Below are 22680 nucleotides of genomic sequence, written 5' to 3'. Positions count from 1 at the left end.
GGGGAGAGAATAGTAATTCCCAGGGCGCCAGGGTGAGTGAGCTGGGTGGGGCAGCGGTTTTCGCTGTCGGAACGGAAGGGAAGCAGGAAACCGCGAGTGGAGAAAGGGCCCCCAGATGTCAGCTGGGTGCCCGGAGCACAGGGGGTGGGGCGGGTGGGCGGTGGCCGCGGCCTTCCCCGCAGGGGCGTAGCCGTGGGCGGTGACTGCGGTGATGAGGCGAAAGGGATCCCGGAAAAGCCAGGGGCGGGGTTAGCAGCGGTACGCCTCGTTTACAAGTGGATGCGGGCGGGACTGAGGGCGGCCCCGCCCCGTCCAGGGCTTCCTCAATGCGCGTGCGCAATGGGCCACAGAACCGCCATGCCGGAACCGCGCGGGTCGTCGCAGCTGCGGGTGAACGCGGCGTTTGCCGCGCGGTACAACCGCTACCGGGAGCGCGAGGAACTGCAGCGGCGTGAGTGCGGGGCGCATGCGCGCGGGAGCCTGCGCGCGCCGGCCGGTTGGGAAGTGGGGAGTCGAGTGGCCCCGCCGGCTGACCTGGGGGGGGGCATCCCGTCTGTGTCCCGCAGTGAAGGATCGCTACGGGGACCGAGACAGCAGCAGCGACTCCAGCTCCGAGTCGGACTCAAGCGACGAGCGCGTGGTGCGCGTCCCCGCCCCGTCCTGGACGTGCGGAGGCGTCCAAGCCCCCCTCTGCACCCCGACCCCGATGTAGACGGGGGGGAACCCCCAACCCCAGAGCGCCCTGCGGGAGCGTCCCATCCTCCGCTCCCCATCCCATGAGGGACAGACAGTGCCCCCCCTCTCCCCAGGGGAGCCAAATCCCCGTTATTTTCTCTCCCCTGCCACGATCCCCACCTGCCCACTCTGATGTGTGGGGCGACTCTGTCCCCCAAGAACCCCCCCTTTCCTCTTTCATCCTCAAGAGTCTAGCCATTTTTTAGTGTACTCCTTGCGCCACGTGGGGCGCCCAACTTCTCACATCAGCCCTGATCCTGGCCCCACTGTGCGGCCTGGCCCAGCCCCTCCCCGCTGTCTCTCTTGTGCCCTCAGCCCACCTGCCCCTTGTCAAGTCTTTGTCTTCCCCAGGAATTACCTTCTCCTTGCCCCTCACCTTCCTCTACCCATATCCTGTACCTACCTGTGGCCTGCCCCTGCCCACCCCAAGAGGGCCCCTCTCCCTCCTGCTGTTTGACCACCTGTTTGACCTCCCCAGCCAGATCCACCCCCCTCCATCCTAATCCCTACGCTGAGCTCACCTGCTGGCGCCAGGGCTCTTATTATCTCCCTTCTGAAATCTATCCCCAACCCTTTTCCTGCCCTAGGAATTTGATCCCCAGCAGGAGCGGGACTTTTACAAAACGCTCTCCTTGTTGAAGAAGAAGGACCCCCGCATTTATCAGAAAGATGCCACCTTCTATAACAGAACAGGTCCGGGGCCACTCCTGTCTAAACCTCTCCTTCCTCTGGAGCAGAATCCGGGGTCCTTTCCTGACTGTGGATTCAGAGAAGTGACTTGACTTCTCTGAGCCTCTTTTCCTGTCTGTAAAGTATATCTAACGGTAGCATCTCCCCTCAGGGCTGTTTTAAGGATAGATTGGGATTTACCCAGTTTACACAGTTCATCTGTTTTGACTATTGAATGAATTGCTTCACAAGTCACAAGTCCTTAGCAGAGCCTAGGTTATTACCTGGTGGTGGAGTTAATGACTGTGTCCTTGGCACTATTCAAGGTGGGAATTGCTGACTGAATGATTCCAACTCCACCAGGCTGGGCAGGTGGTTCAAGCATCTAATCCCAGCACTTTGGGAGGCTGAGGTGGGAGGGTCAATTGAGGCCAGGAGTTTGAGACCAGTTTGGCCAACATAGCAAGACCCCATTTCTCTTTTTTTTTTTTTGAAATGGAGTTTCACTCTTGTTGCCCAGGCTGGGTTGCAATGGGACGATCTCAGCTCACTGCAACCTCCGTCTCCCAGGTTCAAGCGATTCTCCTGCCTCAGCCTCCTGAGTAGCTGGAATTACAGGCACGCGCCACCACGCCCAGCTAATTTGGGATTTTTAGTAGAGACAGGGTTTCTCCATGTTGGCCAGGCTGGTCTCGAACTCCCAACTTCAGGTGATCCGCCCACCCTGGCCTCCCAAAGTGCTGGGATTACAGGCGTGAGCCACTGCGCCCAGCCAGCCTTTCTTTCTTTTTTCTTTTTTTTTTTTTGAGACGGAGTTTTGCTCTTGTTGCCCAAGCTGGAGTGCAATGGCATGATCTGGGCTCACTGCAACCTCCGCCTCCCCGGTTCAACCGATTCTCCTGCCTCAGCCTCCGGAGTAGCTGGGATTACAGGTGCGTGCCACCACGCCCAGCTATTTTTTTGTTATTTTTAGTAGAGATGGGGTTTCACCATGTTAGCCAGGCTGGTCTCGAACTCCTGACCTCAGGTAATCCATCCGCCTTGGCCTCCCAAAGTGCTAGGATTACAGGCGTGAGCCACTGTGCCTGGCGGCAAGACCCCATCTCTACAAAAGATTCAGAACTCAGCTGAGCATGCTGGTGTGCGCTTATAGTCCCAGGTATTTGGGAGGCTGAAGTGGGAGGATTGCTTAAGCCCATGAGTTCAAGGCTGCAGTGAGCTGTGGGCTAGGATGTTGACACTGCACTCCAGCCTGAGCAAGAGTAAGACTCCAACTCTCAAAAAAATTAATTATAATAATTAATCAGGCTGGGCATGGTGGCTCATGCCTGTAATCCTAGCACTTTGGGAGGTTGAGGCGGGAGGATCACTTGAGGTCAGGAGTTCGAGACCAGCCTGGCCAACATGGTGAAACCCCATCTCTACTAAAAATAACAAAAATTAGCTGGGCGTGGTGGTGCACACCCGTAATCCCAGCTACTCAGGAGGCTGAGGCAGGGGAATCGCTTGAACCTGGGAGGCGGAGGTTGCAGTAAGCCAAGTCACGCCATGCACTGGGCAACGGAGTGAGACTCTGTCTCAAAAAAATAATAATAATGGCCGGGTGCGGTGGCTCACGCCTGTAATCTCAGCACTTTGGGAGGCCGATGCAGGCAAATCACCTGAGGTCAGGAGTTCGAGACCAACCTGACCAACATGGAGAAACCCCATCTCTACTAAAAATATAAAAATTAGCCGGGCGCGGTGGTGGGCACCTGTAATCCCAGCTGCTTGGGAGGCTGAGACATGAGAACAGCTTGAACCCGGGAGGCAGAGGTTGCAGTGAGCCGAGATCATGCCATTGCACTCCAGCCTGGGCAACAGAATGAGACTCCACCTCAAAAAAAAATAAGTAAATAAATAATAACAACAATAATAATAATCAAAGCAGGAATTACTGACTGAATGACCCCAACCCCACCAGATGGTGACAAGCACAATACTCTTGGACAGCTGGGAATTGGTGGATTTGGGATTTGAATCCTCTGTCTAACCCTGGCCCTGCCCTGTGGGATTCTCTGCCACGGCAAAGAAGGGGGTTGTGGGTGATGGCAGGTGTCTTTGGTGGGTTAACAGCATCGTCATCAGACAGTGAGGAGGACCCAGAAGCCTTGGAGAAGCAGAAGAAAGTGCGGCCCATGTACCTGAAGGACTACGAGAGGAAGGTTATCTTGGAGAAGGCAGGGTATGGAGAAGGCCTACATCCCCACCCCCTGGTTCCCAGCCCTGTCAGGTCTATGGGGGTCTTAGGGGCAGGAGAGGGAAAAAAGCTGGCAGCCTGGGCCGGGCATGGTGGCTCATGCCCATAATCCCAGCACTTTGGTAGGCTGAGGCAATAGGATCGCTTGAGGACAGAAGTTTGAGACCAGGCTGGGCAACATACCCCGCCTCTACAAAAAAATTAAAAATTAGCTGGGCATGATGATGTGTACCTGTAGTCCCAGCTACTCAGGAGGCTGAGGCAGGAGGATTGAGCCAGGAGATGGAGGCTGCAGTGAGCTATGATCAGGCCACTGCACTCCAGCCTGGGCAACAGAATAAGACCCTGTCTCAAAAAGAAAAAAGGCCGGGCATGGTGGCTCATGCCTGTAATACCAGCACCTTGGGAGGCTGAGGCGGGCAGATCACCTGAGGTCAAGAGTTTGAGACCACCCTGGCCAACATGGTGAAACCCCGTCTCTACTAAAAATACAAAAATTAGCCAGATGTGGTGGTGGGCGCCTGTAGTCCCAGCTACGTGGGGAGGCTGAGGCAGGAGAATCGCTTGAATCTGGGAGGTGGAGGTTGCAGTTTTCCGAGATCATGCCACTGCCCTCCAGCCTGAGGGATAGAGCGAGACCCTGGCTCCAAAAAAGAAATGCTGTCACCCATGATTGGAAAAGAAAAAAAAAAAAAAAACGCTGGAAACTCACCAGAATCGCAGATAGCCCTGAGAGCAGGAGTCTCAGTGATTCCATAGCCCTCCGATGACCCCCGCCAGCTGTTGCTTGGAATAGCTGCTCCGCATGGGCATGGGGACAGGCGGGCCCTGGAAGATATATTCTGAAGACCCCACTTTTCCTTTACAGCAAATATGTTGATGAGGAGAACTCAGACGGGGAGACTTCCAATCACAGACTCCAGGTGGGTGGGGTGAAGGCTGGGTCGGGGGGCTGAGGGGCCTGGGGCTGGCCTGAGACCTATGGCCCTCTCTGCAGGAGACATCGTCGCAAAGTTATGTGGAGGAACAGAAACAGCTCAAGGAAAGGTGAGGCTGGGTGGGCGGGAATGGCCCAATGGAGGAAAGTTGAGGCTCGGGGGTTGGATAGGCACGGGTTCAAATTGAGCTCTGTCACTTTCTATGTGCTTCAGTTTCCTCATCAGTTAAACGGGGTTAATAACATCACAGCACTGCTCTGAGCTTGTTGAGAGGAGAGCTCAGGGCTTAGTAAATGGGGTTAATCTTGGGGCAGCCAGCCAGGTGAGGTGGCTCATGCCTGTAATCTCAGGGCTTTGGTGGGCAGAGGAGGGAGGATCACTTGAGCCCAGGAGTTCAAGATCAGCCTGGGCAACATAGTGAGACCCCAGCTCTACAAAATAAAATAAATACTGGGGCAGCAGACAGGGGCCAGCCTGCCTGTCCTGAGGCTTGTTTTCTCTCGTGGGCAGCTTCCGGGCATTTGTGGAGGACAGTGAGGACGAGGACGGCGCTGGGGAGGGCGGCTCCAGTTTGCTGCAGAAACGTGCCAAAACCAGGCAGGAGAAGGTGGGTACTGGGGCCTGACTGGACTGCTGGGGGACAGGGTGGCGGGTGGCTGGGCATCTGCGGATGCTCAGTGCTAGCTTTCCCCCAGGCCCAGGAGGAGGCCGACTACATCGAGTGGCTGAAGGGACAGAAAGAGATTCGGAACCCAGATTCCCTGAAGGAACTGGTGAGTTCTCACGCATGGTCGCTGATGGAGTAGACCGCGTGTTCCGCGTCCATCCAACCTATTTACAGAAAGTAACCCTCTGAAGATGGGATATGTACATCTCTGGGCCTCAGCTCCTACATCTCTTTAAATGGGGATAGGCTGGGTGCCGTGGTTCACACCTGTAATCCCAGTGCTTTGGGTGGTCAAGGCAGGAGGATTGCTTGAGGCCAGGAGTTTGAGACTGGCCTGGGCAACATAGCAAAATGGCTCTACAAAAAAATGAAAAAATTAGCCAGGCATGGTGGCATGCACCTGTAGTCTCAAATACTTGGGAGGCTAAGGTGGGAGGATCTTGTGAGCCCGGGAGGTTGGGTCTGCAGTGAGCTATGATCACACGACTGTACTGTCACCTGGATGGCAGAGTAAGACCCTGTCTCGAAATAAAAATAAGAAACCAAAATGGGGCTAATGTCACCTACTCCAGAGGCTGGCTGTGAGGTCCATGTGGTGAGCATGCCTGCCCTCCTTCCCTGTCCTCCATTGACCAGAGTCCTGTCTCCTGTCACCCCCAGACGCATCTCAAGGAATACTGGAACGACCCTGAGTTGGATGAAGGGGAGCGGTTCCTGCGGGATTACATCCTCAACAAACGCTATGAGGAGGAGGAAGAGGAGGAGGAAGATGAAGAGGAAATGGAGGAAGAGGAGGGGTGAGCCACTGCATCTCCCCAGGACCTAGATTTTGGGTGCGCTTCATGAAGTATTCCCAGGCGGCACTGGCCAGGAGGCAGAGGGCACCATGTGTGTATTTTTTTCACAGATGGTGGCAGAGTTAGTCTTCTGTAAGGCAGAGCCACAGAGTATAGGCTCTGGAGCCAGGTGGCACTGCCTCAAATCCTGGTTCGGCTTCAAGACTTTCATGCCTCAGTTTCCCCATCTGTAAAATGAGGACAATAGCAGCGTGCACCTTGTAGGGTTCTTGTGAGGATTAAATGAGTTCATACGCTTCGTACCCAGGCGTGCAGGAAAGGGGGGCTCGACCTCACTTGGCTGGCCCCCTGGCATCACCACATCTTGCCCCTCAGGGTCCACGGTCCCCCAGTCCAGCTGGCTGTGGACGACTCCTCAGACGAAGGGGAGCTGTTTCTGAAGAAACAGGAGGACTTTGAACAGAAGTACAATTTCCGTTTCGAGGAGCCGGACTCAGCATCGGTGTGTGGCTGGGGCTGGGGAGGACTCAGCCCCCAGGGTTCAGGCCCAGGGAACCCCACATCATCTCTGCGGCCCTTGTGGGCTTTTCTGATTGCGCCTAGGTCAAGACCTACCCACGCAGCATCGCGTCCTCCGTGCGCCGTAAGGATGAGCGCAGAAAGGAGAAGAGGGAAGAGACTCGGGAGCGAAAGAAGAGGGTGAGTGTGGGGGGTGAGCTGGGGAGGACCCCCCAGCCCTGGAGGAAAGCCCATGCCCTCCCCCTCTCTGCCTGGGCCTGCAGGAGAAAGCAAAGAAGCAGGAAGAGCTCAAGCAGCTGAAGAACCTGAAGAGGAAGGAGATTCTGGCCAAGCTGGAGAAGCTGCGGAAAGTAACAGGCAACGAGATGCTGGGCCTCGAGGAGGGGGACCTTGAAGACGACTTCGACCCTGCCCAGCACGACCAGCTCATGCAGGTGCGGCCCTCATCCCGGCCCAACATGACGCTGAGTTCACACAAACATGGCTCTCACTGGCCACGGTGGCTCACGCCTGTAATCCCAGCACTTTGGGAGGCTAAGGCAGGCAGATCACCTGAGGTCAGGAGTTCGAGATCAGCCTGGCCAACATGGTAAAACCTCATCTCTACTAAAAATACAAAAATTAGCCAGGTGTGGTGGTGTATGCTTGTAATCTCAGCTACTTGAGAGGCTGAGGCAGGAGAATTGCTTGAACCCGGGAGGCAGAGGTTGCAGTAAGCCGAGATCATGCCACTGCATTCCAGCCTGGGCGACAGAGGGAGCCTCTGTTTTAAAAAAAAAAAAAGACCTGGCCGGGTGCAGTGGCTCACACCTGTAATCCCAGCACTTTGGGAGGCCGAGGCAGGCGGATCACGAGGTCAGGAGATTGAGACCATCCTGGCCAACATGGAGAATCCCCATCTCTACTAAAGATACAAAAAATTAGCCAGGGTGTAGTGGCGTGCACCTCTAATCCTAGCTACTCGGGAGGCTGAGGCAGGGAATCGCTTGAACCCGGGAGGTGGAGGTTGTAGTGAGCCAAGATCTCGCCATTGTACTCCAGCATGGGCTACTGGGTGAGACGCTGTCTCAAAAAAAAAAGATCTTAGCCGGGCGTGGTGGCACATGCCTGTAATCCCAGCTATTCCGGAGGCTGAGGCAGGAGAATCGCTTGAAACCGGGAGGCAAGGGTTGCAGTGAGCCGAGATAGTGCCATTGCACTCCTGCTTGGGCAACAAGAGCGAAATTCTGTTTCAAAAAAAAAAAAGACCTGGGGCCTGAGTAGTGCACCAGGTGGTGGGCACCACAGGGGCGAAGGTGGGTAGGACGGCGAAGAACTGTGGATATGTGGAACTGAATGGCGGCCAGTACATCACAGGGTAGACAGCAGGGGAGTTGGCGGAGGATCCTGGACATGCAGGGCCTCCCACCTCAGGAGCTAGGTGCTGGGAGGGCTGTAGGGAGCCCTAGCTGTAGGAGTAAAGTTGCCAAGGAGGGGGTCATTGGCGGCATCGTAGGGGGCTCAGCTCCTATGTCTCGAGTGGGCTCTGGTAACCGCCAGCCCTGACCCTGCAGAAGTGCTTTGGGGACGAGTACTACGGGGCCGTGGAGGAGGAGAAGCCACAATTTGAGGAAGAAGAAGGGCTTGAAGGTGAGATCAGCTGGGGCACTGGGCTGGGGATTGGGGACTGGGGACTGGGACTGAAGCCCAAGGTCCCACCCTGGCCCCACCTGTCTGTTCTCCCTGCATCCAGACGACTGGAACTGGGACACGTGGGACGGGCCTGAGCAGGAGGGAGACTGGAGCCAGCAGGAGCTGCACTGTGAGGACCCCAACTTCAACGTAGGTATCACGGGTTGAGGGAGTCCCAGGGGCCCTGACGGGGGGCTGGTGGGATCTGACCTGTGCGTCCTGGCAGATGGACGCCGACTACGACCCCAGCCAGCCGAGGAAGAAAAAGCGCGAGGCCCCCTTGACGGGCAAGAAGAAGCGCAAGTCGCCCTTCGCCGCGGCCGTGGGGCAGGAGAAGCCCGTGTTTGAACCCGGTGAGGCCCAGGTGGGCAGGCCGTGGGTAGGCAGGGGGCACCGCGGGGCCTGGCATAGCCCAGCAGCCTGGCTCTGTCTCGAGCAGGGGACAAGACGTTCGAGGAGTACCTGGATGAGTATTACCGGCTGGACTACGAGGACATCATCGACGACCTGCCCTGTCGCTTCAAGTACCGCACAGTGGTGCCCTGTGACTTTGGCCTCAGCACTGAGGAGGTAGGGGCCCCGGGCAGGCAGGGACACTGCAGGGGGCACCAGGTATGCCGAAGGGGTAGAAAGCTGGCCCTGAGTCCCAATCTCTGTTGCTCAGAAATGCCACAACATGGCAGGCTGTTTCTTCATCTTGAAAATGATAATATTCGGTTGGGCGCAGTGGCTCATGCCTGTAATCGCAGCACTTTGGGAGACCGAGGCAAGTGGATCACCTGAGGTCAGGAGTTCGAGACCAGCCTGGCCAACGTGGTGAAACTCCGTCTCTACTAAAAATACAAAAAAATTAGCCAGGCATGGTGGCAGGCGCCTGTAGTCCCAGCTACTTGGGAGGCTGAGGCAGGAGAATCGCTTGAACCCAGGAGGCAGAGGTTGCAATGAGCCGAGATTGCACCACTGCACTCCAGCCTAGGTGACAGAGCGCCAAAAAAAAAAAAAAAGAAATGCTAATAGTCCTAATGACAGTGCTAATAACATTACCTCACCTCAAAGGTAATATTACTACCTTCTACAAGGTGGGGGCTTAAAACAGTGCCTCACCTATGGCACGCCCCGTAAATATTACTTCTTTTTTTTGAGACATAGTCTCGCTCTGTCACCCAGGCTGGAGTGCAGTGGTGCCAACCTCCTGGGCTCAATTGATCCTCCTACCTCAGCCTCCCAAGTAGCTGGGACTACAGGCATGTGCCACCATGCCCAATTAATTTTTTTTAATTAAAAATATTTTTTGTACAGATGATGTTTTACTGTGTTGTGCAGGCTGGTCTCGAACTCCCTGGGCCTAAACAAGCTTCCTGCTTTGGCCTCCCAAAGTGCTGGGATTCTGCGTGTGAGCCACCACACCCAGCCAATATTACTTTTTATTTTTGTTTATTTTTTGATTGGTTGATTGGGACAGTGTCTTGCTCTGTCACCCAGGCCGGCATGCGGTGGTGCAAACTCAGCTCACTGCAAACTCCGCCTCCCAGGTTCAAATGATTCTCCTGCCTTAGCCTCCCAAGTAGCTGGAACTACAGGCATGTGCCATCATGCCCAATTAATTTTTGTATTTTTAGTAGAGATAAGTTTTACCATATTGGCCAGGCTGATCCCAAATTCCTGGCCTCATGTGATCTGCCTGCCTCAGCCTCCCAAAGTGCTGGGATTACAGGTGTGAGCCACCAGGCCCAGCCAATATTATTTTATTCCTGTCAGTATGTATTAGCAGCAGTCTGGCTGGTAAGACTTGGTAGCAGGGCTGGTCACACTGGCTCACACCTGTAATCCCAGTACTCTGGGAGGCTGAAGCAGGAGGATCACTTGAGCCCAGTAGTTCTGAGACTAACCTGAGCAACATAGGGAGATCTAGTCCTAGCTACTTGGGAGGCTGAGGTAGGAGGGTTGCTTGAGTCCAGGAGGTTGAGGCTGCTGTGAGCTGTGAGCCTGCCACTGCACTCCAGCCTGGGTGACATAGTGAGACCCTGTCTCAACAAAAGACTTGGTGTCCTCTGGAACCAGGGGGCCTAGGTGGGTTCAAGCCCTGGCTTGGCTGCTCACCAGCTGAGTCTTTGGACAAATGATTCCCCTATCTGTGCCTCAACTCCCCATCTGTAAAGTGAGACAATAATTGATAGCACCCCAACTTTGGTGACTATGGAAGGAACAGAAATGAGACCAAAGTGTGTGGCACCTGGCAGGCTGTGGGTACCTACTATGCCTGACTGATGACGGCTGAAGGTGCACGACCATTTTCATGGTCAGTAAAAATAGCCGATGTGTACTAAGCTTATACCATCGGCATTCAATCACTTCCTCTTTCTGATGGCCTTCCAGTAGGTTTGGAAACAGGCCTAGAGGCTGGGAATGACAGTTTCATATGTAATTAGGAAGCCTGGTGGTTGGCAGCGACCCCTGCCCGTTCTGAGGCTTTGGGGATGGCCGGGTATGGGTGACAGCTCAAGGGCCCTGAGGCTCAAACTGGAATCAATTCAGCCAACTTCCCAGCCATCTGGCCTAGGGCAAGGATCCGTTCTCTGAGCCTCAGTTACCCCATCTGCTGACCTCTACAAAAATCATTGGCCTCTGTAGAGATCAGCTGTCTCTGGCCATCATGGCAACCCTGCTGGGTGGTAGCGGCATTACCGTTTTGACTAATGACATGACTTAGGCTCAGGGAAGGCCCCGCCTGGGCAATATCACAGCAGGTCCCCACTCTCCCTTCCCACGCAGATCCTCGCTGCTGACGATAAGGAGCTGAACCGGTGGTGCTCCCTAAAGAAGACCTGCATGTACAGGTGATGGGGCGGGGCGCGGCGGGGCCACATGCGCAGGGGGCAGGGCGGGCAGCCTCGGGCACTTCCCAGAGCACCCAACACAGGGGCATCTGTCTGCAGGTCAGAGCAGGAGGAGCTGCGGGACAAGCGGGCGTACAGCCAGAAGGCCCAGAACTCATGGAAAAAGCGGCAGGTCTTCAAGTCACTCTGCCGAGAAGAGTAAGCAGTGCTGGCTGGGGAAGCGTGGGTGGGGAGCCTGTCAGGCCCAGGCTTGAGTCTTGGCTCCGTCAACCTCTTGTTGCATGACTTTGGGAATGCAGCGCCCCCCGCTCTGAGACCTGGGTTCGAATCCTATATGGGCACCAACGTTGTGTGACCTTGGGCAAGTCGCTACCCCTCTCTGGGCCTCTTTCTCATAAGATGGAGATAGAGACGGTTCTGCCTTATCAAGTTGCAGAGGATGAAATGAGTTAATTCTCGTAAAGTGATTAAGATATGGTAAATGCCCCATAGGTCTTAGCTGTTATTAGGATTGCTTTCGCCCAGTCTAGAAGGCAGGGGTGATAGATGCACACAGTTTATTTAGAGCTAAAATGAGGCCAGGTGTGTGCTCCAACCTATAATCCCAGCACTTTGGGAGACTCAAGCGAGAAGATCGCTTGAGCCCAGGAGTTGGAGGCTGCAGTGACCTATGGTAACGCGACTGCACTCCAGCCTGGGCGACACAGCAAGACCTTGTCTCTAAGGAAGAAAAAGGCTAAAATGAGTTAATTGATGTGACTAGCTTAGGGCAGGCCCAGGCACAAATACCAGAATCCTCAGCCTCACAATCTAGTCTTTGGGTTCCGTAGAAAAGCGCTGGCTTTGGCCTGAAACCCAGGTCTGAATCCCAGGCAGGCCCTCGGTCGCTGTGCGGCTGCTTCACTATGCCCCTCCTTTCCCTGTCTGTAAAATGGGGCATGCGTGCTCAAGAATGGGCCTGATCTTGACAGGCCTGGGCTGAGCCCTGACTTTTCTCCCTCAGGGCAGAGACACCTGCGGAAGCCACAGGGAAGCCACAGAGAGATGAAGCCGGCCCACAGAGGCAGCTGCCAGCCCTTGATGGCAGCTTGATGGGGCCGGAGAGTCCCCCAGCACAGGAAGAGGAAGCCCCTGTATCACCCCACAAGAAGCCAGCCCCCCAGAAGCGGAGGAGGGCCAAGAAGGCACGGCTGCTGGGCCCCACTGTGATGCTTGGTGGATGCGAGTTCAGCCGCCAGAGACTGCAGGCCTTTGGCCTCAACCCCAAACGGCTGCACTTCCGCCAGCTGGGCCGGCAGCGGAGGAAACAACAGGGGCCCAAGAACAGCTCCTGAGCACCAGGGAGCAGGCAGGGGCCTCAGGCTCCTCTCCTCAAATCAAGCCCTGGACAGGTCTCGCACCCACAAGTACTATCTGCTGCAGAGATCCTCTCATCTGTGGCCAGGCACGCCTGTAATCCCAGCACTTTGGGAGGCCGAGGTGAAAGGATCACTTGAGCCCAGGAATTGGAGACCAGCGTGGGCAACTTAGCGAGACTCCATCTCTACAAAATGTGGTGACACATGCCTGTAGTCCCAGCTACTCAGGAGGCTGGGGAAGGAAGATCACTTAAGGCCATGAGTTTGAGGCTACAGAGAGCTATGATTGCACCACTGCACTCCAGCCTGGGCAACAAAGCAAGACCCTGTCTCTTGAAAAAAAAAAAAAAATTAAAAAACACGTGTAGCTGTGGGTAAGGAAGTCGTCCCATTTTATGGATGTGGAAACTGAGGCTGACTTAAACTTCCCGTGACTTGGAGCTCTCACCTCGAGACACCTCCCAGACCCCACATCCCCTCAGAACGCTGCGCCCAGCCACACCCACGATCAAGTTACACAGCTTTATTGGCCCCCAGCAGCCACAGTTCCCCCAAGGGGGCTTTGGGACAGGGAGGGCCCGGGCGTCCAGTGCAAACTACAGTACGTGAGTCAGGCCCTGAGGGGGGTGCCCGGGGTCCTCCTTCCCTACCCTGCCAGGAGGGCCCCGCTGGTGGGAGACAGGTGTATGGGCTCTGTGGGCTCTGTCCCTGGCTGAATGGCCCCAGACTGGTTGCAGCTGGGCTTGAGGGGCTGACAACAGGAAGTACCATCATCACTGCCAGAGCTCAAGATCCCACACCCGACATGACATAAATAAAAAAATAAATAGTGTTGTATCTTTCCCCTCATCCCCTCCCTTTATAAAAACACAAAGTCCTCAGAGCTGGGGCGTTTGGCCCTGAGGAGCCGCCCTGTGCGAGGGAGCCGGAGTGTGGGCTGGGCGAGCTGGGAGCAGAGGTCGTCCAGGCTGTGGTCCTGAGCATGGCCCTCGGCCAGGGTGAACATGGGGTACCGCTCTGTGGCTGAGGAGGAGCTGAGGACCTGGCGGGAAGAGGGAGACAGGGTCAGCCACAAACAGTGCCAAGCCATATTCCTTAGCCCAGGTTTATTTAGTAGGTGCTTCTCAGGACCACCTCTCCAGGAGAGAGCAGCCAATCAGCACCTTCCATCCCCTGGCCACAGTGATTGGCTCAGCCATGAGCATGTGACCCAGCTCAGCCAAAGACTGACAGTCCTGGGATTTTTGCTGCAAAACCTGCGTTTCCCTTCCAGTGACCACAGGGTGGGTGCCCAGAATGGCTGGTGGCCATCTCTCGCCCCCATAAGGGTAGAGTCCTGGTCGGACAGCAGGGCCAAGAGACAGGGAGGGTTCCCACCACTTGAGCCCCTGGATACAGCTGCCTCCAAGGGATGATGCCTTAACAGTGGGCTTTGGCGTTCCCACCTTTTCAGGGGTGGACATTCTTCACATTTCCCAGGTTAGGACCCCTAGCCTGGAAGCAGCACCCCAGCTCTGCTGGACTCGAGGCCTCTGTTCCTCTTTCACCCCCAGCCCTGCCCAACCGCCCCCCTCACCCCACTCCAGCTTTCCTCTTGCTCACCCTGGTCAGCTCTGAGCAGAGTGTCTCAAACTCCTTCCTGTCTCCAGCATAGAAGCCCACGGTACAGCTTGGGTCCATCTTGGCAAAGGCCATCTTGCGGGGCGAGGTGCAGTGGAAGGACTGGGGCAGACAGACGAGGAAGGCTCAGAGGCTGGGCTGCCCACCCGCCATGGCCCCAACCACACACTGGGGCTCCCACTCACCTCCAGGGGGAAGTCGGCCTGGCTGACATCCACAGTGGGCTGGCAGTAGTGAGGGTCCAGGTACAGCAGGAAGTCATCTGCAGGGGGTGCAGGTGTGAGTGGGGGTGCGGTGGGGGGTGGGAGGAGTGAGGAGGGGGTGGGCCTACCTTGGTAGCCAATGAAGTACAGTGAGTGTCGCGGTTTCCCACCCATGATGCCCAGGCACAGCTCGCAACGCAGGAGTTCCTGCAGGGAGGAGGGTAGGCAGGTGCTGTCAGGCAGCCACTCAACAAACGCTTGGCAAACACCTCCTCTGTGAGAACCCAGCCTCTGGAGGGCAGCAGTGATCAAGACCACAAAACCCTTGCCCTCAGGAGCTGACATCCTAGTGTGAGAGACTAACAAGGAAGATGATTACATGAATTTTTTTTTTTTTTTTTTTTTTGAGACGGAGTCTCACTCTGTCACCCAGCCTGGAGTGCAGTGGCCCAATTGGCTCACCGCAACCTCCGCCTCCTAAGTTCAAGCGATTCTCCTGCCTCAGCTTCTCAAGTAGCTGGGATTACAGGCACCCGCCACCACACCCGGGTTAATTTTTTGTATTTTTAGTAAAAATGGGGTTTCACCATGTTAGCCAGGCTGGTCTGGAACTCCTCCTAACCTCAGGTGATCTGCCCGTCTCGGCCTCCTAAAGTGCTGGGATTACAGGCTGGAGTGCAGTAGCACGATCTTGGCTCACCGAAACCTCCATCTCCTGGGTTCAAGCAGTTCTCCTGCCTCAGCCTCCCGAGCAGCTGGGATTACAGGCGCCCGCCACCACGCCCAGCTAATTTTTGTATTTTTAGTAGAGACGAGGTTTCACCATGTTGGCCAGACTGGTCTTGGACTCCTGACCTCAGGTGATCCACCTGCCTCCCAAAGTGCTGGGATTACAGGCGTGGGCCACCACGCCCAGCCAATTACATGATTTATCTCATGTGTTAGAGGTGATAACTATATGGAAAAGAATAAAAGAGGGAAGGGAGCCTTGTGATTTTAAGTAAAGAGGTCAAACATTACAGCTCTTTTAGAATTTGTCTCAGGTTTTCTGGTTCTCACTGGAAAACCCCCCACGCAAAAAATATTTTAAAACAGGAGCCAAGCAGTGGCTCATGTCCATAATCTCAGTACTTTGGGAGGCCGAAGCGGGAGGATCACGAGGTCAGGAGATCGAGACCATCCTGATTAACACAATGAAACCCCATCTCCATTAAAAATACAAAAATTAGCCAGGAGTGGTGGCGGACGCCTGTAGTCCCAGCTACTCGGGAGGCTGAGGCAGGAGAATGGCATGAACCCAGGAGGTGGAGCTTGCAGTGAGCTGAGATCATGCCACTGCACTCCAGCCTGAGTGACAGAGCAAGACTCCGTCTCAAAAAAAAAAAAAAAAAAAAAGCCACATGCATCACTGCTGAAAGAGTGCTCCAAGCAGCAGGGGCAGCAAGCGCAAAGGCCCTGAGGTGGGAGTGTCTGAAATAGGTGAGGAGGCCCCTGTGGCTGCAGCAGAGTGTGGGAGGAGGATATGAGGTCAAGGTGGGGGATATCCCGACATCAAGAAGGTGGTGTGGACAAATAGTGCCGGGCTCTGTGGGTCACTGGGAAAACTGGCTTTTATTCGGATGCAAATACATAGGGGACTTTCCAGCCTCAGGGTCTCTGTCTTGCTGTTCCTTTTGCCTGGAGCACTTCTCCTCTGGCTCCTCATTTGCCTGGTGGCTGCAGAGGCGCTTTTCTAGGCTCTGCTGCTACCCTCATCTGCCCTTCATTGGGTTACTGTTTTTTTAAAGTTGTGTAGAGGCTGGGTGCAGTGGCTCATGCCTGTAATCCCAACGCTTTGGGAGACCGAGGTGGGTGGATCACCTGAGGTCGGGAGTTCAAGACCAGCCTGGCCAACATGGGAAAACCCCATCTCTGCTAAAAATACAAAAATTAGCCGGGCGTGGTGGCATACACCTGTAATCCCAGCTACTTGGGTGGCTGAGGCAGGAAATTTGCTTGAACCTGGGAAGCGGAGGTTGCAGTGAGCCAAGACGGTGTCACTGCACTCCAGCGTGGGCAAGAGAGTGAGACTCGAATATTTTCAAAAAAAATTGTGTAGAGATGGGGGTCTCACTATGTTGCCCAGACTGGTCTCAAATGATCCTCCTGCCTCGGCCTCCCAAAGTGCTGGGATTATAGGCCTGAGCCACTGTGCCTGGCTTCATTCCAAACAGTGATGCTACTTTGGTTACATAGCCACTGCTGAGCATCCTCCCATCAGAACGTCTGCTCCCAGCAGGCACACTCAGAACTCCTGCCTATTCTGTTCCCCTCTGAATCCCCAGCAGTCGGGACAGTGGGGAGCACACATAGCAGGTGCTGCATAGTATAAAAAAAGAAGGGATGGGCCGGGCGTGGTGGCTCACACCTGTAATCCCAGCACTTTGGGAGGCTGAGGTGGGTGGATCACCTGAGGTCAGGAGTTTGAGAACCAGCCTGGCCAACATGGCGAAACCCCGTCTCTACTAAAAATACAAAAGTTAGCCGGGCGTGGTGGCACACGCCTGTAGTCCCAGCTACCTGGGAGACTGAGGCAGGAGAATTGCTTGAACTCGGGAGGCGGAGGTTGCAATGAGCCAAGACTGTGCCACTGCACTCCAGCCTGGGCAAAAGAGCAAGACTCTGTCTCAAAAAAAAAGGGATGGCCCGTGTGGTGGCTCACGCCTGTTATCCCAGCACTTTGGGAGGCCGAGGTGGGCAGATGACCTGAGGTTAGGAGTTCAAGATCAGCCTGACCAAAATGGTGAAACCCTGTCTCTACTAAAAGTACAAAATTAGGTGGTCGTGGTGGCGCATGCCTGTAATCCTAACTACTTGGGAGGCTGAGGCAAGAAAATCGCTTGAACCCAGGAGGCGGAGGTTGCAGCGAGCCGAGATCACGTTATTGACCTCCAGCCTGGGCAACAAGAGCGAAACTCCATCTCAAAAAAAAAAAAGTGATGAGGGCTGCACAAACAGCAGCCCTAACACAAACTAAACAAGTCTGGAGGGCTCCCAGGTGGAGGTGTCCTAGAATTCAGCTGAACCTACCTTCACGCAGGGCACATACACGGGGTTGAGAGTCTCGCCACCCAGTCGCACGGGCACCAGGATGACCACAGACTTCCACTCGGCTGTGGGGTCTGGCCTGGCCACCAGGCGTGCCACATCCGCCTTGTACACTGGAGGGACGGGACAGCAGCAGGTCACCTTCTTGCCACCCTTCAAGCCCCAGCGTAGCCCTCTAACCCCAGGGGCTCAACCTCAACCGTGCAATTTCTCAGAGGGCAACACTGTCATCACTAACCAAAATCATCATTCTAGTGCCCCCCAAACACCCCCAGAAAATCCCAGGACCTCCAGGCAGGTGTGGACATCCCCATTTTACAGAGTGGGCAACTGAGGCCCTGGGATGTAGACCAAAAGTATATACAGAAGGGAGAGGTAGAGACTGTTCTCTCAAGCTCCTCCCCAGCCCCATGCCTGACAGGTCCTCAGTGACTCCATGCCTCGGTTTGCCAATACAGAAGCTGGAGCACTGGGCACTCAGCCCCTAAACCAAATATCCTGGTATGTCCCTCCTCCTCCAGTCCCATTTACTTGGGCCCATTCTCCTGCCCCCTGCCTTGCAGCTACGTAAGCCCATTTTGTGCTCCTAGAGAAGTAGATTAGACCCATTTTGGAGATAAGGTTCTCTGAAAATCGAATCTTTTCCCAAACACCTACAATTTTGCATAAAAAATTTACAGAGGTAGCCGGGCACGGTGGCTCCAGCTTGTAATCCCAGCACTTTGGGAGGCCGAGGAGGGGGGATCATGAGGTCAGGAGATCGAGAGACCATACTGGCAAAGACAGTGAAACCCCAACTCTACTAAAAATACAAAAAAAATTAGCTGGGCGTGATGGCACGCGCCTGTAGTCCCAGCTATTGGGAGGCTGAGGCAGGAGAATCACTCGAACTCAGGAGGCGGAGGTTGCAGTGAGCCAAGACTGTGCCACTGCACTCCAGCCTGGGTGACAGAGTGAGACTCTGTCTCAAAAAAAAAAAAAAAAAAAAAAAAAAAAAAAAAAAAAAAAAAAAATTACAGGGGCTGGGCACAGTGGCTCAAGCTTGTAATCCCAGCACTTTGGGAGGCCAAAGTGGGCGAATCACCTGAGGTCAGGAGTTCAAGACCGGCCTTGTCAACATGGTGAAACCCCATCTCTACTAAAAATAGAAAAATTAGCCTGGTATGGTGGTGCGTGCCTGTAATCCCAGCTATTTGAGAGGCTGAGGCAGGAGAATCGCTTGAACCCAGGAGGCAGAGGTTGCAGTGAGCCGAGATCGTGCCTCTGCACTGAAGCCTGGGTGACAGAGTGACCTGACCTCAGGTGATCCACCCACCTTGGCCTCCCAAAGTGCTGGGATTACAGGCGTGAGCCACTGCGCCTGGCCTCTTTTTTTTTTTTTTTTTTTTTTCGACAGGATCCTACTCTGTCGCCCAGGCTGGAGTGCAATGGCATAATGACAGCTCACTGTAACCTCGAACTCCTGGGTTCAAGCAATCCTCCCACCTCAGCCTCCCAAGTAGCTGAGACTACAGTATGTGCCACCACACCTGGCCTTATGTCTCTATTCTATCACTCAAGGAGAAGCCCCTGAAGTTTCTTGTTCCAGAGGGAGAGACGGAGAAGAGGGACTATCTCCCACTGCACAGGCCTTGCATCCTTCCCCAGTGTCCCTCTGCCCCACAACTTGTTCCAGCCTCTGAGGAAGATGCACTCTAAGAATCGGGTAAGGCAGAGTCTGGCTCAGGGTGGGGCCCCTGTGATCTTGGCTCCCAGCCCCTTACCTGTGCAGTCCTGAGAAACGTACACCACCAGGCGGGTGACGTCGGAGCAGCTCTCCACGGCTTTCCTGGGGGCAGGAGGGAAGGCCTGAGTGCCTGCGGGTACCCAGCAACTCCCGTGATCCCTGCAGCAGCCCTCACCTGAGGATGTGTGCCACTAGCGATGGCCCATACCAGTCACCTGCCTTCTTGCCTGAGCTCTGCCCAAGCTCCACCAGCCGGTGTAGGCCAAAGGGGGCCCGGGGGTGGTCGGCGAACCAGGACACAATCTGCCGGTGCCGGCGTTCCTGCTCCAGCTCAGGGGCACCCTGGGCCCAGCGTGGGGGCATCCAGCGGGCAGGCCCATGGTACCGGCTGGGAGAGGCTGACCCTGACAGCTCAGGGGGGCCCAGGCCCATGCCCTCGGCCCATGTCCAGTCTGGTGGAATGGAGCACATAGTCAAACAGTGCTAGTGTGTGGGGGGCAGAGGTCCCATCTACACATGCACCGCACACAATGCGAATGCTCCTGAACCCCGTAATTCAACAGAATTTACATATTCCTGAAACATATACTTATCCTTATTTATTTATTTATTTTTTGTTACTTAAAGACAGGATCTCAGCCAGACGCGGTGGCTCATGCCTGTAATCTCAGCACTTTGGGAGACCAAGGCAGGTGGATCACTTGAGGCCTGGAGTTCGAGACCAGCCTGGCCAACATGGTGAAACCCCTTCTCTGATAAAAAAAAAAATATACAAAAAGTAGACAAGCGTGGTGGCGGGCACCTGTAATCCCAGCTACTCAGGAGGCTGAGGCAGGAGAATCGCTTGAACCTGGGAGGCAGAGGTTGCAGTGAGCCAAGATCTCTCCACTGCACTTCAGCCAGGATGATAGAGGAAGACTCAGTCTCAAAAAAAAAAATAATAATAATAATAAATAAAATAAATAAATAAAGACAGGATCTCACTGTCATCCAGACTGGAGTGCAGTGGCACAATCACGTCTCACTACAGCCTCTAAATCCTGAGCTCAACAGATTCTCCCGCCTCAGCCTCCTGAGTAGTTGGGATCACAGGCACATGCCACCACACTCAGCTAATTTTTAAAATTTTTTTGTAGAGACAGGAGCCTTGTCATGTGGCCTAGGCTGGTGTCGAATGCCTATGCTCAAGCGATCCTCCTGCCTCAGCCTCCTAATGTGCTGGGATTACAGGCATGAGCCACCACACTCGACCTGTTATTGTTGGAGTCTCATTCTGTCACTCGGGTTGGAGTGCAGTGGCAGGATCATAGTTCACTGCAGACTTGAACACCTGGGCACGAGCAATCTTCCCACCTCAGCCTCCCAGGTAGCTGGGATTACAAGCATGCAGCACAGTGCCCAGCCAAAACTCTTTTTTTTTTTTTGAGACTGAGTCTCGCTCTGCCACCCAGGCTGGAGTGCAGTGGCACGGATCTCGGCTCACTGCAACCTCCGCCTCCCCGGTTCAAGCAATTCTCTGCTTTACCTTGCCAAATTACAGGTGCCTGCCACCACACCCAGCTAATTTTTGTATTTTTAGTAGAGATGGGGTTTCACCATCTTGGCCAGGCTGGTCTTGAACTCCTGACCTCATGATCCACCAGCCTCAGCCTCCCAAAGTGCTGGGATTACAGGCATGAGCCACCGTGCCTGGTGAAACTTTTTTTTATTTTTATTTTTGACACAGAGTCTCCCTCTGTTGCCCAGGCTGGAGTGCAGTGGTGCGATCTTGGCTTGCTGTAACCTCCGCCTCCTGGGTTCAAGAGATTCTCCCACCTCAGCCTCGGGAGTAGCTGGGATTACAGGCGTGTGCCACCACAACCGGCTAATTTTTGTATTTTTAGTAGAGATGGGGTTTCATCATATTGGCCAGGCTGGTCTTGAACTCCTGACCGCAAGGGATCCATCCGCCTCAGCCTCCCAAAGTGCTAGGATTACAGGCATGAGCCACCGTTTCCAACCCCGGCTGAAACTCTTATAAACAACTCTCATCTCTCCAAAACTTACTTGACACACAATTCTAACGTGACTTTGAACTCTTAGTTGGTAAGTAATTCTAATACTGCTGATATGGCAGTTGACCCTGTACTCCTAGTGCACCCCTTCCCCCCTATGGCTCACCTCTGGGCAGGAAATGCAGCAGAAGGCCCTGTGCCAGCATCATCTGGCCGCTGCGTAACATGCACCCCCAGCCACAGTCCGAGGTCAGGCAGCCCCCAGGAAGGGGCGGGAAGTCCCGGCGGTATGTGAGCCACAGGCGGGACACAAAGTCCCGCTGGAAACGCTGTATGTCACCTACAAGAGCGGGTCTGTCAGCTGCCACCAGGGACACTCCGGCGGGCGTGGAGAGGCCTCCCCCAGCCCTGGTCCCAACCACCAGCTCACCCTCGCCCTCGAAACGGTAGCGGCGGCCACAGAGGTGGATGCTGGAGATCTTGCTAAAGCTGGTCCGGCTTTTAACCACCCAACCTGGGGAGACGTAGGGGCAGCGCCCAGCGAGATGAAGCACTTGCATGACAGCAACAGCGCTTCCATTCCCCCATCTGTGAAATGGGCACGATCCTAGTTCCTATCTCCGGGGTGGCTCCGGGGATTCCGTCGGAGGTGGGGCCCCCAGTGACAGCTACAGGAGTGTCCACCATCAATTCAGGATGAAGGAAGGTAGTTCTGATTATTGTACCCATTTTACAGAGAGGGGCAAAAACGGAGGCGCCAGGAAGCAAAGGATCTTGCCCAAGGTCACACAGGGGAATGGGCGGGGCTTGAAAACACTATTGGACCTGCCACAGGTCCACCCTGGGCCGGGCAGGGAGGGGACCCACAGGTGACTCAGGACGGGAACAAGGGTGGGATAACTGGCAGGACCGGGGTCTGGTTTTCCTCAACGGCCCCCGACACCCCCACGATCTCCGGGCCCCCTCCTCACCGTACTTGACGTTGTTCCAGGCTGTCAGGAACTTGGCCTTGAACTTGTCCACTTCGTCCGGCTCACTCGGGCCAGCCCCGGGAGAGCCAAGAGCGGGGCCGCTGGCTCCGGAAGGCCCCAGGCCGTTGGGGTCTGGGCCTCTGGGACCCCGCGGCCTGCGGGCCTCGGGCCGGCGGCGCGCGTCCTCCGGGCTGCTGCTCCGGTACTGCGCGGCGGCCGGCGACACTGAGTTCATGGACGCGCCGGGAGGGCGGACCGAGGGCCCAGGTGGGGGGCTGCGGCCGCTGCCCCCCAAGGGCGACCCGCAGCCGGTTCACGGGGCCCGGGGAAGGCGCTACTCGGCCCCCGTCCCCAGGGTACCGGGCCAGGCAACAGCCGCCGCCGCTGCTACCGCAGCCATCGCCATCTTAGCGGGCCAGGACCCCGGATGACGGTGGGCGTGGCCAAGCCAGACGCCCCGCCCCGCCCTCTCCCCGCCCAGCCGCCTTTCCTGCCCCGATCCCGGGTCGCCAGGCGGGGACCTCAAACCCCGACGCCTTCCCGCGGCCTCCCCCCGCCCTCCTTATCACACCGCCAGGAGCGCGACAGCCCCTTCAGGCCCTTATCGGAGGCAGCAGAGCTGGGGAACCCCTGCCCCTGGCCCCGCCCC

At 55.5% G+C, this 22680-nt stretch overlaps 2 protein-coding genes, 1 non-coding gene and 1 pseudogene across 9 annotated transcripts, besides 11 other annotated features; 2 read left to right on the top strand and 2 right to left on the bottom strand.

Annotated features, from left to right (window-relative positions):
* Positions 77 to 606: a silencer, noted in NCBI's record as "silent region_10082". NCBI's record gives its function as "represses an Ori minimal core promoter by ATAC-STARR-seq in GM12878 lymphoblastoid cells {active_cell/tissue: GM12878}" and the evidence as "EXISTENCE:reporter gene assay evidence [ECO:0000049][PMID:35858748]".
* Positions 77 to 674: a biological region, named in NCBI's record as "H3K27ac hESC enhancer GRCh37_chr19:10676359-10676926".
* Positions 107 to 674: an enhancer, noted in NCBI's record as "H3K27ac hESC enhancer chr19:10676359-10676926 (GRCh37/hg19 assembly coordinates)". NCBI's record gives its function as "activates a minimal SCP1, AML or CMV promoter by ChIP-STARR-seq in primed H9 embryonic stem cells {active_cell/tissue: H9 hESC(primed)}" and the evidence as "EXISTENCE:reporter gene assay evidence [ECO:0000049][PMID:30033119]".
* Positions 347 to 13272, top strand: KRI1 (KRI1 homolog). Of its 3 annotated transcripts, NM_023008.5 has the most exons (19): positions 347 to 451; positions 567 to 640; positions 1323 to 1428; positions 3520 to 3628; positions 4512 to 4566; positions 4641 to 4690; positions 5092 to 5188; positions 5277 to 5354; positions 5909 to 6045; positions 6421 to 6547; positions 6649 to 6744; positions 6828 to 6998; positions 8118 to 8193; positions 8297 to 8385; positions 8462 to 8588; positions 8675 to 8805; positions 11008 to 11072; positions 11172 to 11270; positions 12076 to 13272. In NM_023008.5, the coding sequence occupies exons 1-19, from the start codon at positions 358 to 360 to the stop codon at positions 12404 to 12406; spliced, it is 2112 nt and encodes a 703-aa protein (NP_075384.4). In that variant the 5' UTR covers positions 347 to 357; the 3' UTR covers positions 12407 to 13272. The 3 variants fall into 3 exon arrangements, with proteins under 3 accessions (NP_075384.4, XP_011526492.1, XP_047295188.1); XM_011528190.3 differs by lacking the exon at positions 567 to 640; XM_047439232.1 differs by lacking the exon at positions 347 to 451 and having other exon boundaries at positions 467 to 640.
* Positions 675 to 1242: an enhancer, noted in NCBI's record as "H3K27ac hESC enhancer chr19:10675791-10676358 (GRCh37/hg19 assembly coordinates)". NCBI's record gives its function as "activates a minimal SCP1, AML or CMV promoter by ChIP-STARR-seq in primed H9 embryonic stem cells {active_cell/tissue: H9 hESC(primed)}" and the evidence as "EXISTENCE:reporter gene assay evidence [ECO:0000049][PMID:30033119]".
* Positions 877 to 926: an enhancer, noted in NCBI's record as "active region_13978". NCBI's record gives its function as "activates an Ori minimal core promoter by ATAC-STARR-seq in GM12878 lymphoblastoid cells {active_cell/tissue: GM12878}" and the evidence as "EXISTENCE:reporter gene assay evidence [ECO:0000049][PMID:35858748]".
* Positions 11928 to 12007: an enhancer, noted in NCBI's record as "active region_13977". NCBI's record gives its function as "activates an Ori minimal core promoter by ATAC-STARR-seq in GM12878 lymphoblastoid cells {active_cell/tissue: GM12878}" and the evidence as "EXISTENCE:reporter gene assay evidence [ECO:0000049][PMID:35858748]".
* Positions 12038 to 12087: an enhancer, noted in NCBI's record as "active region_13976". NCBI's record gives its function as "activates an Ori minimal core promoter by ATAC-STARR-seq in GM12878 lymphoblastoid cells {active_cell/tissue: GM12878}" and the evidence as "EXISTENCE:reporter gene assay evidence [ECO:0000049][PMID:35858748]".
* Positions 12108 to 12277: an enhancer, noted in NCBI's record as "active region_13975". NCBI's record gives its function as "activates an Ori minimal core promoter by ATAC-STARR-seq in GM12878 lymphoblastoid cells {active_cell/tissue: GM12878}" and the evidence as "EXISTENCE:reporter gene assay evidence [ECO:0000049][PMID:35858748]".
* Positions 12939 to 22453, bottom strand: ATG4D (autophagy related 4D cysteine peptidase). 5 transcript variants are annotated; one of them, NR_104024.2, is made up of 10 exons: positions 22032 to 22453; positions 21491 to 21574; positions 21227 to 21400; positions 19286 to 19518; positions 19104 to 19168; positions 17323 to 17453; positions 14382 to 14460; positions 14236 to 14312; positions 14033 to 14152; positions 12939 to 13472 (listed from the first exon to the last, which is right to left on the bottom strand). NR_104024.2 is itself a non-coding variant. In NM_001281504.2 (10 exons), the coding sequence occupies exons 2-10, from the start codon at positions 21618 to 21620 to the stop codon at positions 13290 to 13292; spliced, it is 1236 nt and encodes a 411-aa protein (NP_001268433.1). In that variant the 5' UTR covers positions 21621 to 21648; positions 22032 to 22453; the 3' UTR covers positions 12939 to 13289. The 5 variants fall into 5 exon arrangements, 3 of the variants coding, with proteins under 3 accessions (NP_001268433.1, NP_116274.3, XP_006722990.1); NM_001281504.2 differs by having other exon boundaries at positions 19242 to 19518; positions 21491 to 21648; NM_032885.6 differs by having other exon boundaries at positions 19242 to 19518.
* Positions 14153 to 14235, bottom strand: MIR1238 (microRNA 1238). The gene has a single exon (NR_031603.1). It is a non-coding gene; the product is annotated as a microRNA 1238 (primary transcript).
* RNU7-140P (RNA, U7 small nuclear 140 pseudogene) lies at positions 15265 to 15324 on the top strand (annotated as a pseudogene).
* Positions 21467 to 22062: an enhancer, noted in NCBI's record as "H3K27ac-H3K4me1 hESC enhancer chr19:10654971-10655566 (GRCh37/hg19 assembly coordinates)". NCBI's record gives its function as "activates a minimal SCP1, AML or CMV promoter by ChIP-STARR-seq in naive H9 embryonic stem cells {active_cell/tissue: H9 hESC(naive)}" and the evidence as "EXISTENCE:reporter gene assay evidence [ECO:0000049][PMID:30033119]".
* Positions 22108 to 22287: a silencer, noted in NCBI's record as "silent region_10081". NCBI's record gives its function as "represses an Ori minimal core promoter by ATAC-STARR-seq in GM12878 lymphoblastoid cells {active_cell/tissue: GM12878}" and the evidence as "EXISTENCE:reporter gene assay evidence [ECO:0000049][PMID:35858748]".
* Positions 22338 to 22677: a silencer, noted in NCBI's record as "silent region_10080". NCBI's record gives its function as "represses an Ori minimal core promoter by ATAC-STARR-seq in GM12878 lymphoblastoid cells {active_cell/tissue: GM12878}" and the evidence as "EXISTENCE:reporter gene assay evidence [ECO:0000049][PMID:35858748]".

The sequence above is a fragment of the Homo sapiens genome, chromosome 19 (assembly GCF_000001405.40).
Source record: "Homo sapiens chromosome 19, GRCh38.p14 Primary Assembly".
Classification (NCBI taxonomy): Eukaryota; Metazoa; Chordata; class Mammalia; order Primates; family Hominidae; genus Homo; species Homo sapiens.
The sequence above is the reverse complement of the archived record's forward strand: the minus strand, read 5'-3'. Positions and strand labels throughout refer to the sequence as shown.

Coding starts and splice junctions, on each gene's coding strand:
- KRI1 (XM_047439232.1), top strand. CDS start 467: ATGCGCGCGGGAGCCTGCGCGCGCCGGCCGGTTGGGAAGTGGGGAGTC. Junction 6,548..6,648: donor AGGAGCCGGACTCAGCATCG/GTGTGTGGCTGG, acceptor GATTGCGCCTAG/GTCAAGACCTACCCACGCAG. Junction 6,745..6,827: donor CTCGGGAGCGAAAGAAGAGG/GTGAGTGTGGGG, acceptor CTGGGCCTGCAG/GAGAAAGCAAAGAAGCAGGA.
- ATG4D (NM_032885.6), bottom strand. CDS start 22,266: ATGAACTCAGTGTCGCCGGCCGCCGCGCAGTACCGGAGCAGCAGCCCG. Junction 19,519..21,226: donor GCTGCATTTCCTGCCCAGAG/GTGAGCCATAGG, acceptor CCATTCCACCAG/ACTGGACATGGGCCGAGGGC. Junction 19,169..19,241: donor CTAGTGGCACACATCCTCAG/GTGAGGGCTGCT, acceptor TCCTGCCCCCAG/GAAAGCCGTGGAGAGCTGCT.